At 49.4% G+C, this 15,294-nt stretch overlaps 1 protein-coding gene and 1 pseudogene across 1 annotated transcript, besides 2 other annotated features; one reads left to right on the top strand and one right to left on the bottom strand.

Moving 5' to 3' along the window:
* Window positions 1,283-1,577: a silencer, noted in NCBI's record as "tiled region #12810; K562 Repressive DNase matched - State 8:EnhW". NCBI's record gives its function as "represses a minimal TATA promoter and a strong SV40 promoter by Sharpr-MPRA in K562 cells {active_cell/tissue: K562}" and the evidence as "EXISTENCE:reporter gene assay evidence [ECO:0000049][PMID:27701403]".
* SLC22A13 (solute carrier family 22 member 13) lies at window positions 2,297-15,242 on the top strand. The gene is made up of 10 exons (NM_004256.4): window positions 2,297-2,723; window positions 10,757-10,860; window positions 11,089-11,243; window positions 11,474-11,642; window positions 11,855-11,975; window positions 12,063-12,157; window positions 12,367-12,581; window positions 12,772-12,880; window positions 13,397-13,612; window positions 13,857-15,242. The coding sequence occupies exons 1-10, from the start codon at window positions 2,346-2,348 to the stop codon at window positions 13,948-13,950; spliced, it is 1,656 nt and encodes a 551-aa protein (NP_004247.2). The 5' UTR covers window positions 2,297-2,345; the 3' UTR covers window positions 13,951-15,242.
* Window positions 4,507-7,366, bottom strand: CDC42P7 (CDC42 pseudogene 7; annotated as a pseudogene).
* Window positions 11,723-12,017: an enhancer, noted in NCBI's record as "tiled region #5010; K562 Activating DNase matched - State 8:EnhW". NCBI's record gives its function as "activates a minimal TATA promoter and a strong SV40 promoter by Sharpr-MPRA in K562 cells {active_cell/tissue: K562}" and the evidence as "EXISTENCE:reporter gene assay evidence [ECO:0000049][PMID:27701403]".
* Window positions 15,243-15,294: the final 52 nt, after the last annotated feature.

Below are 15,294 nucleotides of genomic sequence, written 5' to 3' on the forward strand. Positions count from 1 at the left end.
GCCGGTGATCTTCCTGATACTTCCCATATGGAGAGTGTATTCATTCCACTAAAAATTGCTCGGCTGGTTAGAAAACTCTTGTTACACCCCTCTTTGGTCTTAGTTGTGGCCTTGAATGAAGGCAGGTACAAAGAGGAAGATGAAGACAGCTTCAAAGAGGATACCTGGTCATGGGCCTTGAAGCATTGCAGAGAGCCTTTGGCAGTCTTTACAGGATGTGGTGGGGAGGAAGGGAGGATAAAGTTAAGAGGAGAAAGAAGTAAACCAAAACATCAGGATTTGGGGAATGTAGAGATAATGTGAGACCAGTGACATTCGGTGCCTCAGTTCCAAGGTTTGGGGATCATAGTTCAGCTGGAGACTGACTCTAGGGAGGTCTTTGATCAGGCCTCACTCTTGTCAGGAGTCTGCTAATCATTCTGTCTTTCTCTATTTTAGAATTGTACACCAAGAAGTAGAAGAATCTTTAGAGACCATCCTTTACCTAGATGGGGCAATTGAGGGCCAGAGCCAGGAACAGATTCTCAGGGTGAATCAGTGGCAGAGCTCAAGTTTCCTACCTCCTAGCTCTAGCTCTCTTGGTTGCTTGGAGCCAAACAAAGCAAAAATTCCTTTTCTGACTGGAATGAGGAGATGATGAGGGCAGAGGACAAGGCTTATGTCTCCATCTCAGTTCTTCCCCATAAGGGGAATACCAGACTAGGCAGTGGTGACTGGTAGCAGTTGTTTTCTTGGCAATTCAATAAAGACAATGCTAAGAATAAGAACACTCAAGGAAGCTAAGTGAAGGAAAAAAGAGCTGGGGACAGTGGTGATCCTGGTGGGAGAGGTTGGGGTGGGGCAAAGAGCAAAGCATGCTCCCTGAGCAGCATGTCAGGCCTTGCTTCTGCCCTCCACTGTCTGCCCTGCCTTGACCTGTACTGCAGGCTGACTGATTAACAGGCTTCCAGCAGCTGTGCCAGTCAGGTGGCCAGGGCTGCCCTGCACAACCTTGCTTCCTTGCATTCCCTTCAGCAATGTTCCTCTGCTCATGCCTTAAAATAGTTCAAAATTGAGAACATGAAAATGCTTTCTTATGCATACACAAGCAGACATGAATATGTGTATGCACCTGGTGTGTGTGTGGGCTGTGGTGGAGGCATACTTTGTCTTGTGTTCATTGTCACTGACATTGCTCAGGGAGGCTGGGGTACGTGCATTTGTTTTCATCTTTAGAGTGTGTTAATGGTTTCCTTCTTGATTAAAGTAGAGCTCAAAATGCAGCTCTGTCATTGCTCTGTATTCTTGGTTTGTCTTTGATGTTGAAAAGACAGTGCACTTGTGCTTTTGGTGGGGCTCCTGGCCTGCATGCTGCTTCCTAGGATTGGCAGGTATTGCATATCACCACATACCAGACACCCACAGGAGAGAAAAATCATCAGGATCAAGAGGCCAGATTGGGCTGCTGGCAAAGTTTATCTGCAGGCTAAGTGCTTGTTGCTCTCCTGCTTATCCATGCTGCCTAGTGTGGGCTGTCCCTAGAAGGGAATTCTGTGTCCCTCTGAGTGCTGCAACTACTCTCAGGGTTTTACTGTAGTGGTTTTACCTCGCCTATTGGTTGACCCATCTACCTGTCTCATTTGAGTTGAGTGTGAATTGTTTAGGATATTGCAATTAGAGGTGGTGCGGGCTGGCTGGTTGCTATAAGCCATCTTAACATTTGGCTAAGCTCACTCCTGTGTGCTGGGCCTGACAAGGTCCTCTTGGTTCCTCTTGTGATGACTGTATCTTTTACACAGTTAATAAAACATCCTCAGATGTTATAAGCTGGAGTGAACTATTTATTTTTCTATTTTTTTTATTTTACTTTAAGTTCTGGGATACATGTGCTGAATGTGCAGGTTTGTTACATAGATATACATGTGCCATGGTGGTTTGCTGCACCTATCAACCCATCATCTAGGTTTTAAGCCTCACATGCATTAGATATTTGTCCTAATGCTCTCCCTCCCCTTGTCCCCCACCCCCTGACAGGCCCTGGTATGTGATGTTCCCCTCCCTGTGTCCATGTGTTCTCATTGTTCAACTCCCACTTATGAGTGAGAACATGCGGTGTTTGGTTTTCTGTTCCTGTGTTAGTTTGCTGAGGATGATTGTTTCCAACTTCATCCATGTGGACTATTTTTTCATCATATTCTACCCTTCCCAAGTCACACCTAGGGGGCTGAGGAGTGACAGGTGGAGCAGGGCAAGGCTGGATTAAACATTAATGCAGCTATCACCACTGCCCAGAGGAGCAAGTTCCCAGAGCCAAGCTACAGAGCTACCCTAGTGTCCCCAGGCTGAGGAGGTAGTGACTGGCATACATGGCTCAGTTTGTCCAGGTCCTGGCTGAAATAGGTGACTTTGGTCGCTTCCAGATACAGCTATTGATCCTGCTGTGTGTTCTCAACTTCCTGTCTCCCTTCTACTTTTTTGCCCATGTCTTCATGGTCCTAGATGAGCCCCACCACTGTGCAGTGGCTTGGGTGAAGAACCACACTTTCAACCTGAGTGCTGCTGAACAGCTGGTACTGAGCGTGCCCCTGGACACTGCAGGTCACCCAGAGCCCTGCCTCATGTTCCGGCCACCCCCCGCCAATGCCAGCCTGCAGGACATCCTCAGCCACCGCTTCAATGAGACGCAGCCTTGTGATATGGGCTGGGAATATCCTGAGAACAGGCTCCCATCCCTGAAGAATGAGGTAGGCTTGTCCTTTTGCTGGTCTCTCCACCGGTTGTGGGTCTGTCAGGTCTTGTGCCTGACTCTTCGCCCTCAGTCACTGGCTCTGTATCTGCCCCATGCCCATATGGTCAACCATGGGCACATATGTTTTTCATTTTGTCAATCTCATTTTCCTCTTTGTCCTCTGCCTATTGACCCATCTGTCTGTCATCTTCTCTGTCCAGTCTGTCTGCCCATCTGTCCATTTTTTGCCCATCCTTCTGTCGTCTCTGTCTTTCCTTGTCTCTCTGGCTATCTACCCAGTTGGTGTCCTCTCCTCTTTTCCTATCTTTGTGCCTTTCTCTCTACCCAGTGTGCTCATCTGTCTGTCCAGTTCTCTTTGTCTTTCAGTCTACCCCTGCATGTCTGCCTATGTTCCTATTTTCCTAACCCTCTAATGCCATCCCTTTCCCTGTCCATTTCACTGCCTTCCTGCTTGCTGGGCTTCAAAACTTTCAGCTTTTCTCTCTAGGTCTCTGCCAGCCTGCCCTTGGGACGCTGGAGAACATCCAGGACTCTAGGACTTGTCCTGTGGATAACTAAGCGTTCATTCTTGCTAACTTCATTCTTTTAGGAGAGATGCAGGCAGAAAAGTTCCCATCCTAGCCACCTCCGAGCAAGAGGGGCCCTCTGAAAGCATCCAGTCCCACTCTGTTGCTTCCCAGATGTTGGGGTTGAGGCACAGAATGAGGATATGGCTTAGCCAGGGCAATGCAGTGAGCTGATCATGGAGCTGGGGCTCTCATGCCAGATACCTGCTGTCTAGATTCCCACAGGAGTGTGAGGCAGCACAGATAGTCCAGAAACCTGAGGGGCATGGGTGCTTGAGGGGATCTGTATAATTCTCATCTTCTTTATGGTGGAAAATCTGGGATTAAACATTCACTTCTTCCCCACCCCATGGCTGAAAAAGTATTTATTTTTAGAGGTTGTCAGAGACCAATGTGTTAACCAAAGCTTAACTTTCACTTTTTAATGTGTGACCATAAAACTGCTCCCAGAAGCCTGGCAGCCTGCGGATATGTCCTGCCTGTCCTTCTCCCAACTCTCCCCCACCCCACCCCACCCCACACCACAGGGAGCTCTAGGGAGCCTGTGCATGCTCCCAGGCTCTGAGGCTGGCCAGCTTAGCCCCTTCTGACCCTTACTGTCCTCTCCATCATCTCCCCAGCATCACATCCATGGCTGGTGCCAGCCTTCACCAGCCCTAACGTGTTGTGATATGCCTGTATGTGTTAAACTCTCTGCCCACCTGGCCAAATATCATCATTCTCAAAGCCCAGAAAACCTTCCAGATTGCTCACAGACTACTCTAGGCCTTCTTCACACCCCATGCTGGACTGTTCATGCAACCGTATTCAGCCAAAGGCCCCTGAGGATTAACTGTGCGGGGAAGTCAGAGGGGAAAGGTACTTTGTTCCTCTAGTGGTCAGGAAAGGTCTGGGCCCCTTGCAGAGGAATAAAGGGCTGGGCGGGTTCTAAGGCCCAGAATTTGCTTCCTCCTGGTTCCGGGGGAATGGGCAGGCAACTTTCTGAAGGAAGTGGTATGTGTGAACTGGGGCACCAAGATACTAGAAAAATGTTGCTAGAGAAGAGGGGAAGGCCTCTGCAGGTGGAGAATAAGAATAGCACAGGAAAGGCCTGGCAGCAGGAAGCAGGCAGGATGTCTGGGGAGCAGTGGGTGTGCCTGCAATGGGGTCAGGGTGGAGGGGTAGGGGTATAGGAATTAGATGGATGTTTTCAAGGATTTGGGACCTCTGTTCTTTGGTGTTTGTTTGACACATCTGAAAAGAATGCATACACAAAGAATTATCATGTGAGAAAGCATTGGTTAACGCTAAGGTAATAATTAGGATTTGTGGAAGGTGGAAAAAATTACCTAAACATTTTTAGCAATTGGGAACTGCAAAATAAGCCGATAACATCCCTGTTAACACTTAGGAAGAGTCTTCATTCATGACATCTGTTAAACTAGAGAGCCTCCATTGGCTGTTGGAAGGTTCCTCAAACACAAAACAGAAACAAGGGGAGTCCCTTGACTGGTTCCCATGTTCTTAAGTGTTCTCCCCGCCCCTTCTCCAACCTCAGCTCCTCGATGAAGCAGACCTCCATAACTTGAAAGAGGGTGTTATCATTCCATAGACATCTATCTTATACAGAGCATCACCCTCACATTTCTTCTACATGCTGGGTCTTCAGCTGCGTTCTAGGAACACCATGTCACACACTCTTAAGCTGCACATTTATGCTAAGCATATGAGAGAATGACAGGAAAGACTTTTTTTCAGATTATGAACTCACTCCATTTAGTGTATTTCAGAAGGTGCATACTTCTCTTCATCTGTCAGTGAAAGAAGTTGGAAATTAACTTTGAAAAATAAATCAGCAAATAGCAAATTTTCTCAAAAGTTACAGTCACGTATATAGGGCAAGAAATGAGGAAGGGCAAGACAGACTCCACCCACATTAGTGAGTTTCATCAAACACCCAAGGGTGGAGAGAAAAGGCAGCTTTCAGAAAGGACTGTGTTATGAAATGAGGCAGGTGGGGAATGTGTTTTCTAAACTAGATCTAGGAAGTGGAATGTGGAATCAATCTGTCCTCCTCCCTTTAAGGACTGTCCACTGGTTAATAAATTTTTTAAAAGACTAAAAAATAAACTCCTCACACACAAACACCCGCAAAACAAACAAACAAACAAACAAACAAAAAAAACAGCATTAAGATGTCCCATGTTACTCTCGAGGGGAACCAAGGAGCAGCTTAACAATTAGCATTAGTGTACTAGAGAGTCATTACAAGCATGCCTTGCTTTTAAGCAAACAAAAAAATTTTTTGAAGCAACAGAACAAACGAGTACTGATCACTTTTCTGACAATAAACAATGATTCAAAAGTAACTAGTATTAGGATGGGGAAGGGAACCATACCTATGAGCCTTGTCTTGCAAGAGTATATGTTGGTAGGATTAGGCATTTGTCATTATTGCAGAGAATGAACTTCAATTTTTTTTTTTTTGAGACAGGGTCTTGCTCTGTCACCCAGGCTGGAGTGCAGTGGCGAGATCTGGGCTCACTGCAACCTCCACCTCCTGGGTTCAAGTGATTCTCTGACCTCAGCCTATCAAGTAGCTGGGACTACAGGCATGCACCACCATGCCCGGCTAATTTTTATATTTTTAGTAGAGATGGGGTTTCACCATGTTGGCCAGAGTGGTCTCGAAGTCCTGACCTCAGGTGATCCACCCGCCTCAGCCTCCCAAAGTGCTGGGATTACAGGTGTGAGCCACCGCGCCTGGCCTAATTTTTAATTCTTAGTTTGACTTAAACCTTGCTTTTAGTGTGATGGCGACAAAAGCTGAGCTGAAAGGGCTTTGGAGAGATGTTCACAGCAGCACATGCCTGAGGCTCTCTCTTCTTTGGCTCTGGAGGCTTGGTTAACAGCATTCTTTTTTTATTTTATTTTATTATTATTATACTTTAAGTTTTAGGGTACATGTGCACCATGTGCAGGTTAGTTACATTTGTATACATGTGCCATACTGGTGTGCTGCACCCATTAACTCGTCATTTAGCATTAGGTATATCTCCTACAGCTATCCCCTCCCCCCTCCCCCCACCCCACAACAGTCCCCAGAGTGTGATGTTCCCCTTCCTGTGTCCATGTGTTCTCATTGTTCAATTCCCACCTATGAGTGAGAATATACGGTGTTTGGTTTTTTGTTCTTGCGATAGTTTACTGAGAATGATAATTTCCAATTTCATCCATGTCCCTACAAAGGACATGAACTCCTCATTTTTTATGGCTGCATAGTATTCCATGGTGTATATGTGCCACATTTTCTTAATCCAGTCTATCATTTTTGGACATTTGGGTTGGTTCCAAGTCTTTGCTATTGTGAATAATGCCGCAGTAAACATACTTGTGCATGTGTCTTTATAGCAGCATGATTTATAGTCCTTTGGGTATATACCCAGTAATGGGATGGCTGGGTCGAATGGTGTTTCTAGTTCGGTTAACTGCATTCTTTAGGCCCTTCTCTGTGAGTGCAGAATGCTCTGCATACTCAACAGCCTTCCAGTCCGAGGCCAGTCTGGAGTGATAGGCTTCTGTTTTTTGTTCTTGGCAAGTTTTACAAGAGTAGAGGGATCATTCTCTGAGATGAATTTGGGTCTCGACAAGCAAGAAAGGAATCTTTGGATAGCGGTGAGTTATCACAGGCACCCACTTTTCTTTCACATTTTTGAATGAGGACGGAGATACCACTGAAAAACTGACTAGAAATACATCTGTTTGTAGATACTTAGCAATTGCAATCTTTTATAACCCTCTTGCCCAGAAGTGTCAAAAAGTCCAAGAGCATATGGCTCTCCACCAACCATAACCATGACCACATAGTTGTTAGAAATAGTTGGTACATTTTCAGATGTAAATTTGTTTGTTGTGTAGGATATCGGTATGTTTTACCAATGGCATCATTGCTTACAACAGCACACTTAATGGTCTGCATTGCTGAAATAGTTTTGTATTTACTTTAAATATTTCGAACTTGATGTTGACCTCAGCTTCTCCCTGGGGCATGGCGGCACTCAGGACCTCTCTCCTAGACAGTGCTGGCATTGCAGTTGGAACTTGGGCCTCTCACTCTACCCTAACATGCTCTCCTCACCCCAACTCTTCCAAAGACTGTGACTCCCAAGGAAATGAATGCTTTGTGCCCTGCACCACATGCTAATCCCAAGCTCAGTTCCAGAGTGCAGCTGGCTTTGTGTGATCTTCTATCTCTGGTTTTCATCTATGAGGAAGGGTTCTGCCCATTGACCCAGAGGACCCTCTCTGAGCTGACACCTAAGCTTCTTTATTATAAATGGTGACTTCATATTTAAACTTAAATGCAAACAATACTAATTTGAAAAGAGAAAAGTATATTTCCATATAGGCTGTGTGCTCTTGAAGGTCAGAATATGTTTCTCCTTTTCAACCTACATTTCCTGGGCGTCCACCCTTGGTAAAAGAAAAAAAATGGGCTGGGTGCAGTGGCTCGTGCCTGTAATCCCAACACTTTGGGAGGCTGAGGCAGGAGGATCACTTGAGCCCAAGAGTTCAAGACCAGCCTGGGCAATATAGTGAGACCTCATCTCTACAAAAAAATAAAATAATCAGCCAGGCATGGTGGCACATGCCTATAGTCTCAGCTACTCCAGAGGCTGAAGTAGGACAATCGTTTGAGCTAGTAGTAAGCCGTATTCATGCCACTGCACTCCAGCCTGGGGAGACGCTTTCTCAAAAAAAAAAAAAAAAAAAAAAAAAAATGACTCCCCTGTCTACGTGGACCTTGGAATGGGAAGGTGGGAAGACCATCAATGAATAGCAACAATCATGTGATCTGTCCAGCGACCAAAGAAGTAGGAATAGGAGAGAAGGGGAAGCAGAAAGAACAACCATTTCTGGGGTCTGGAGGCGTGAAAATGCCTGGCATATTTAGGAATGCTGACATGGCAAAAGAGACTGGGAAATAGGCAACAGCTAGCTCTTCAAGGGCCTTAGATATAGTGCTAAGGAATTTGGGCTTTCTCCTAGAGGCCAAAGGGAGCTGTTGAAGGTTTTGGAATAGGGGAGGGATCCGGGATGGGGTATACGCCAAGAAATGAGGGTGGGATTCTGCAGACCACCATGGCAGGCTGCAGACAGAACCATCCACTGTGGGTGTTGGGGCTGGGGAGGATGACTGGCATCCCAAGTTGGAGCCCTCTTCATCTCTACCACCTGCAACATGACAACACCATGAGAGCTCAGGCATATCTCGGCGCCTCTCCAAGCCTCAGTCTCTGCTGCTGCACAAGGGGAATGATAAGCCATTATGGGGTTAGAATGAGGATTTAATGTCATAGCAGGTATATAAACTGAAGAGAGGTAGTGAATGGTGGCTGTTGACCAGGTGTGCCAGCCTTAGAAGACTCCAAGGCTTGGTGCTCATGCCCACAGGGCACTTCACCCCCTTGTGTCTGAGCTGTCTGCCACCAGGTGAGAGCTTTGTGAGCACAGAGGCCAGCACAGCCTCACCCTACATAACAGGTGCTGAGAGCTTCGTGTGACATAGCCACTGAGCTAACCATGTTACAAATGTTAGTTCCTTTCATTATATCAGGTGATACTATATAGCATATTTTATTCACATTTTGTAGTGGGAAACCAAGACACAGACAGATGGGCTAACAGGCTCAAGGTCACACAAAGCCACTCAATTCTGACTCCTGAGCCTGGGAACAGTAGGCCTTTATTATTAGTTATTTTAAATGCCATCTTACTACAAAGGCAATCTGTGGCTGCTAGACAAAAACCAAACAGGATAGAACTGGCTGGAGCAACAATTTCAAGTCCCCTGTCCTTCCCTACTTCATTCCCAGGGGCAATCAGTTCATCACTTGATACATGTTGAAAGTTCTTGAAAATTAACAGTTGTCCTTAAGAACAGAAGTATGAGCACAATGGTAACTCCTGGACTGGTTAATTTCTTGCTAAAAGTTATTTAACTGATGGTGATTGGTTAATTAGCTAGCTGTAGGCATTAGTTTATGTCTTCATTTATTCATTCATTCAGCAGACATCCTCTTAGCCTTCACTCAGATTCATTCCCTGTCTAGGGCAAGAGAGATGTCTCAACTCTACCAGCTGCCATCCAGCTGTAGGACCAAGGGTTAGCTGCTTAAACTTTCCTTTCTCGGGAAGTTGATAATAAGTGAAGGATTATTATTAGAATTCTGTGAGATCATGCATGTAAAGTGTTTAGCAAGCACCCAGCACAGGGTAAGTGCTCAGTGGTTGCTGCTGGGAAGCTGGAGGAGAGCTCACATGACGGTTCCCCAACAAACATTTGTGTGTGGAACTGGGCTGTGTTCAAGAGGCATGGCGGGACTCCCTAAGGGGCCCACAAACCCCATGGGGTGGGGGTCAGTCAAGTGAGTCAAGTGCACATACAATAGACGTGTGTACAGAGTGGTATGGACCCAAATATCTTCTCCTCTTGGTTTCTCAGGCTGTGGGATTCTCTCTATAGGTCTTGGGTGGATTAGCATTCTCTGTGTCTCTCTCTTTCTCTGTCACACACCTGCACATTCTCTCATTCTCTCCCTCCCTCCCTCTGTGTGTGCGTGTGTACGTGTGTGTGTGTTCCTCTCTCCTAATCGCCTTCCTCAGGGCATGTGTGAGGGCTCCTTAGGATTCTGATTGCCTGTGAATGGTGGGTACTTCAGGGGGATTTTGCAGCCAGGTAGAAAAACATGGAGAGACCCAAGTGTGTCCCAGGGGTGCCCTGGCTATGGAGAAGCGGCCCCATTTGTTAAGAAGCAGCAATTAATGATTTGTCACAGGGTTCCAAAATTTGCATCCTTATTGTGTCAATAATTTTACATGGCATCTCCAGGCCAAAAGAAATGCCTAACAGCTCTATGTATTAAGTCATTAAGTTCAAACAAGTGTTTATGTCCTAACAACTTAGTAGTTATTTTTTGGAATAAATGCATAAGTTGACAGAAAAAATATTTTAATGTTATTCTTAAATACAATAACTTACTGATAAGATGTATGCACTTACTGGGCATTGTACAACTTCTCAGTCCTTAAACACTACCTCCCTCACTTTCTCTTCCACATTGATTTTCCTGTGGCATTTGCTTTCACAGCAACTGCCAAAAGCACTTTCCTATAGATTTGATGTCAGATTTCACATAGATATGATGTCATTGGAAGGAAAGTAGTGTGGTCTCACGTTGAAAGCGTGAACTATCCTGAGCTAGTAATTTGTGTGATATCAGAGAGATGTCAACTTGTATTTCCCTTTAAAACCTGAAATGCCCTGCCATGCTCAGTGAGTTCACTATGGTGCCCTGGAGTGCCTCAGTACACAGTTTGGGAACCATGAGCTCCTGCCCTGAAGGGTTTGTAGTGGGACAGGTGGTGTAGGGCTTGCCCTCCTTGCAGCCCCTGGACTCACATCTGCCTGTGTCTCCCTCAGTTCAACCTGGTTTGTGATCGGAAGCACCTGAAGGACACCACACAGTCAGTGTTCATGGCTGGGCTCCTTGTTGGCACCCTCATGTTTGGGCCCCTCTGCGACCGGTAAGAACCTTGCCCTGCCCACTCCCTGCCTAGCAAGCTCGTCAGCTCTGGCACAGGCCCAAGTCCCCCTTATGCCCCTTACACTGGCCTTTAGGCAAGGCCCTCTTCCCCCTACCCTCAAATGGGGCTCAGACAGAGACCCCAGGACAGGGCTGGGCCCCCTTGCGGCCTTCTCCTCAGATGCCTTCCGGGAGGGACCCTCCCCACAGACCTGCCCTGTTTCCTCAGGATTGGCCGCAAGGCCACAATCCTGGCGCAGCTGCTCCTCTTCACCCTCATCGGCCTGGCCACAGCTTTTGTGCCCAGCTTTGAGCTCTACATGGCCCTGCGCTTTGCTGTGGCTACTGCCGTCGCTGGACTTAGCTTCAGCAATGTCACCCTACGTGAGTGTCTGGGCCCTGGAGCCTTCAGCCATAGGGTGAGGCCCAGGGGCCTGGGAGGGCCACAGCCCCAAACGGCCTGTGGAGGTCTTTTCAGGTACCCCACATCTGAAGTGGTCGCACTGGTGCTTCCTGTGTTGGCACTGAGGCCCAGCCCCCACAGGGTGGCATCTAGGAGTAATGGGGAGTGAATGGCAGGGATTAGCCCTGTCTCAACCTCTCCATTGCCACAGTGACAGAATGGGTGGGGCCCTCATGGAGGACGCAGGCCGTGGTCCTGGCCCAGTGCAACTTCTCCCTCGGGCAGATGGTGCTTGCGGGACTCGCCTACGGTTTCCGCAACTGGAGGCTCCTTCAGATCACCGGCACTGCGCCTGGCTTACTGCTCTTCTTCTACTTCTGGTGAGGAAAATACATGCCAGGAGCAAGCCCCCCCAGGTTAGTTGTGTTGTGGTGGGGTTGCAGTGCAGCACCCATGTTCATAGGACAGTCAGAGGTGAGTCTGGGAGAGGGAGCCTGTCACAGCTGGGTGTGGGGTTCAGTTTGCACTGGAACAAGCTGGAAAGCTCCCTAGGACTCCAGGCCCCAAGGTCATAGCCGTTGCTGACCCACAGGGCTCTGCCAGAATCTGCACGTTGGCTCCTGACCCGTGGGAGGATGGACGAGGCGATACAACTGATCCAGAAGGCGGCCTCGGTCAATAGGCGGAAACTCTCCCCGGAGCTCATGAACCAGGTACTTCCAGCAGGCCCAGGCCCAGGCCCAGAATCAGACCCACACGGATCTTCCTGCCTGGCTTCTCACTCTGCTTCTTCCTCCCAGCTGGTCCCAGAGAAGACAGGCCCCTCAGGGAATGCCCTGGATCTGTTCAGACACCCCCAGCTCCGGAAGGTGACCCTGATTATCTTCTGTGTCTGGTGAGTGCCCAGAACCCGAGGACAGAACCACAGGGCTGCAGCCTCCCTGGTGTGTGTTGGCAGAGGGGTGGGCTGGTGGCTGTTTGGCTGGGATGGTCTCTCCCTGGTTGTGCCAGTGTCCCCTGCTGTGACTGCTGACCAAGGCAGGCTCTCCCTCTGGGTGGTGTCTCGTCACCCAGCAGTGACAGGAACCCTTCATTACCTTGTAGGTTTGTGGACAGTCTGGGGTACTACGGCCTGAGCCTCCAAGTGGGGGACTTCGGCCTGGACGTCTATCTGACGCAGCTCATCTTTGGAGCTGTTGAGGTGCCTGCCCGCTGTTCCAGCATCTTCATGATGCAGAGGTTTGGCCGCAAGTGGAGCCAGTTGGGGACCTTGGTCTTGGGTGGCCTGATGTGTATCATCATCATCTTCATCCCAGCAGGTATCAGGGCTGGCTATCCCTCACCCGCATGCCCCCTCACCCACCGGCTGCCAGGGGCTAGACCAGTGGCCATTGTTCTGCTTCCAGGAGTAAAGGCTTCCCGGGGGTTTGGGTACAGAAGGGGTGGGGAGTTCCAGTGGATGGGACCGGCGTCAGGGCCCAGGTGATGGGGCTGTCTACCCTCTGCCAGATCTGCCCGTGGTGGTCACCATGCTGGCTGTGGTGGGGAAGATGGCCACAGCTGCTGCCTTTACCATCTCCTATGTGTACTCTGCCGAGCTTTTCCCCACCATCCTCCGGTAAGAGCTGCAGTGTGACTCCTGCTCCTCTGCTACTGAGATGCTGATTTGGCTGTCCCTCCTCGGCCCTCACCCCATTCCACAAATAGCTGACAGGGCTGGCTCTGGGGCAGCAGTGCTGGGCAGGGTCCAGGACAACTAGAAATCTAGCCCAAGCCCTCAAGTTGTCCCCAGAATGGTGGAGGACAGACAGGCAAGTAGGCCATGCCCTGGCGGTCAGGACAGGAATATGGGACACATCTAAGAATGAATGGCCACAGAGAAGGAGCACTTGGGGTGGAAGAGTGGTAAGGATGTGCAGCCTCTGACCTGAGACTTGACAGGCGAGCAGGGGTGTAGCAGGCAGGGAGCAGGGTTGGAGGCAGGAGCAGAGAGCAGGAACGCTGGCTGGGCTGGGTGAGGCTGGAGACCCTGCAGACCTTTGAGGTCTGGACTCTCCCGAGGAAATATACTAGGGTGAAGCTGAGGCCCAGAGTTGGGCCCAGGTCTACTTAGCTTGCCCTGGTCTTCCCCCAGGCAGACAGGCATGGGGCTGGTGGGCATCTTCTCACGGATCGGGGGCATCCTCACACCACTTGTGATCCTGCTGGGAGAGTACCACGCTGCCCTCCCCATGCTCATCTACGGCAGCCTCCCCATCGTGGCCGGCCTGCTGTGCACCCTGCTGCCAGAGACGCATGGCCAGGGCCTGAAAGACACCCTCCAGGACCTGGAGCTGGGGCCTCACCCACGGTGAGCTGCTTGCTTGCACTGAAACCACGACTTGGGTCTCACATTGGCCACGCACTCTATATGCCCAGGCCTCCACCTCATCACTCGTCCACTGTTGCCTAGAGGCTAATATGGGGTCCTCCAGAACCACAGACATCTGGCTGGCTTTAGTTCAGATTCCCCTTACTTTGAGGAGGGAGGTGGTGAGGACACTGTCATGGGACCAATTCCTGGGCAGCCAATGACAGCCTTCTGCTCCCTCTAGGTCCCCCAAATCAGTGCCCTCAGAGAAGGAAACAGAGGCCAAGGGAAGAACTTCCAGCCCGGGAGTGGCCTTTGTGAGCAGCACATACTTCTGATTGAGGTCTCTAAGAGCTGGACCATCAGCAGCAGGGAGCTGCCTAAACACCTCCTTGGATATGGCCAGGACCCACAGGGACACAGGGCAAGACCAGCCTTGCTTATGGAGGCAGGACACCACAATCTGGCCCATGGCTGTCACCTCCTGCCGAGTCCAATCCCAGACTGGGAACCACCATCTGAGACAGGACCTCCCGGCCTCCTTCACCTTTCTCATCTCCAGAGCCCTGCCCCCAATACTCTGTCTGGGTTAGGATCTTGGGTATGTCTTGGAATTAACTTGTCCTCTAACAATCTTCATGGGGTATGGCTCTCTTGATCTCCTCAATCTGGAGTCCCCTGCCCTCAAAACACAGTGATGTTCAGAACAGAACACAAGGTAAGCCCTTTCCAATTTGTGGGAACAGGAGGGGAGAGGAAACAAATGTGAAGTTGTGGACTCTACCCAGGCAGGTGGATGAAAATGCTGTGGATAAAAGGAAGGTTATGATTCCTTCTAGCGGATGGACCAGATTCCTCTGGCTAACGTATGGCCCCATAGGTCACTGGGTCATACAGAGAGAAGATTCAGTTCAGCCTAAATCAAAACTTCCACCTTGTGTTCACTTCAAAGATGGCCCAACCCCCGCCCTACACTCAGCTCATGCCTAACCTATGTGTGGCTCAGGGACCAGCTTGGGGAAGGAAAGGAGGTTTGTTCTGCTCCCCGCCTCACCCCGCCTCCTCCTGCTCATGCTCAGCTGCTTCTGGACCTTCCAGGGCCCATGCAGGGTGAGGGAAAGGGTAGAGGTCTTTTCACCGAGCTGCTGCTGGTTGCAGTTCTTTCTGGTGCACATTGGCTAATGCCAGTTGGTGTGTTTTGTCAGGCTTCTGAAAGCTGCCTTTTCCACGGGCCATCTTCTTGGGCTTCTCAGAGATCTTCTCAGGCCTTGGTATTGTTCCTTAGAATGAGCAATATGCTCCCAATGCACTCCCAGCTCCTCTTGGGACCCTTCTCCAGCCCCACCCAGCATTGCTCCTACAACCTGTCCTACAGCTGGCAGCCCCTGACCCAACCAAGATGGCCTTCTTGGCTGGGCGTGGTGGTTCATGCCTGTAATCCCAGCACTTTGGGAGGCTGAGGCGGGCGGATTACCTGAGGTCAGGAATTTGAGACCAGCCTGGCTGGCATGGCAAAACCCTGTCTCTACTAAAAATACAAAAATTAGCCCTATATGGTGGTGCATGCCTGTAATCCCAGCTACTTGGGAGGCTGAGGCAGGAGAATCGCTTGAACCTGGGAGGCGGAGTTTGCAGTGAGCCAAGATCGCACCACTGCACTTCAACCTGGGCAACAGAAAGAG

This window comes from Homo sapiens, chromosome 3, assembly GCF_000001405.40.
Source record: "Homo sapiens chromosome 3, GRCh38.p14 Primary Assembly".
In the NCBI taxonomy this organism is placed as follows: Eukaryota; Metazoa; Chordata; class Mammalia; order Primates; family Hominidae; genus Homo; species Homo sapiens.

What these genes read in the sequence shown, in the direction of transcription:
- SLC22A13 (NM_004256.4), top strand. Translation starts at nt 2,346, where the DNA reads ATGGCTCAGTTTGTCCAGGTCCTGGCTGAAATAGGTGACTTTGGTCGC. An exon ending in TCCCATCCCTGAAGAATGAG is followed by an intron (nt 2,724 to 10,756) that starts GTAGGCTTGTCC and finishes TGTCTCCCTCAG; the next exon opens with TTCAACCTGGTTTGTGATCG. An exon ending in CCCCGGAGCTCATGAACCAG is followed by an intron (nt 11,976 to 12,062) that starts GTACTTCCAGCA and finishes TCTTCCTCCCAG; the next exon opens with CTGGTCCCAGAGAAGACAGG.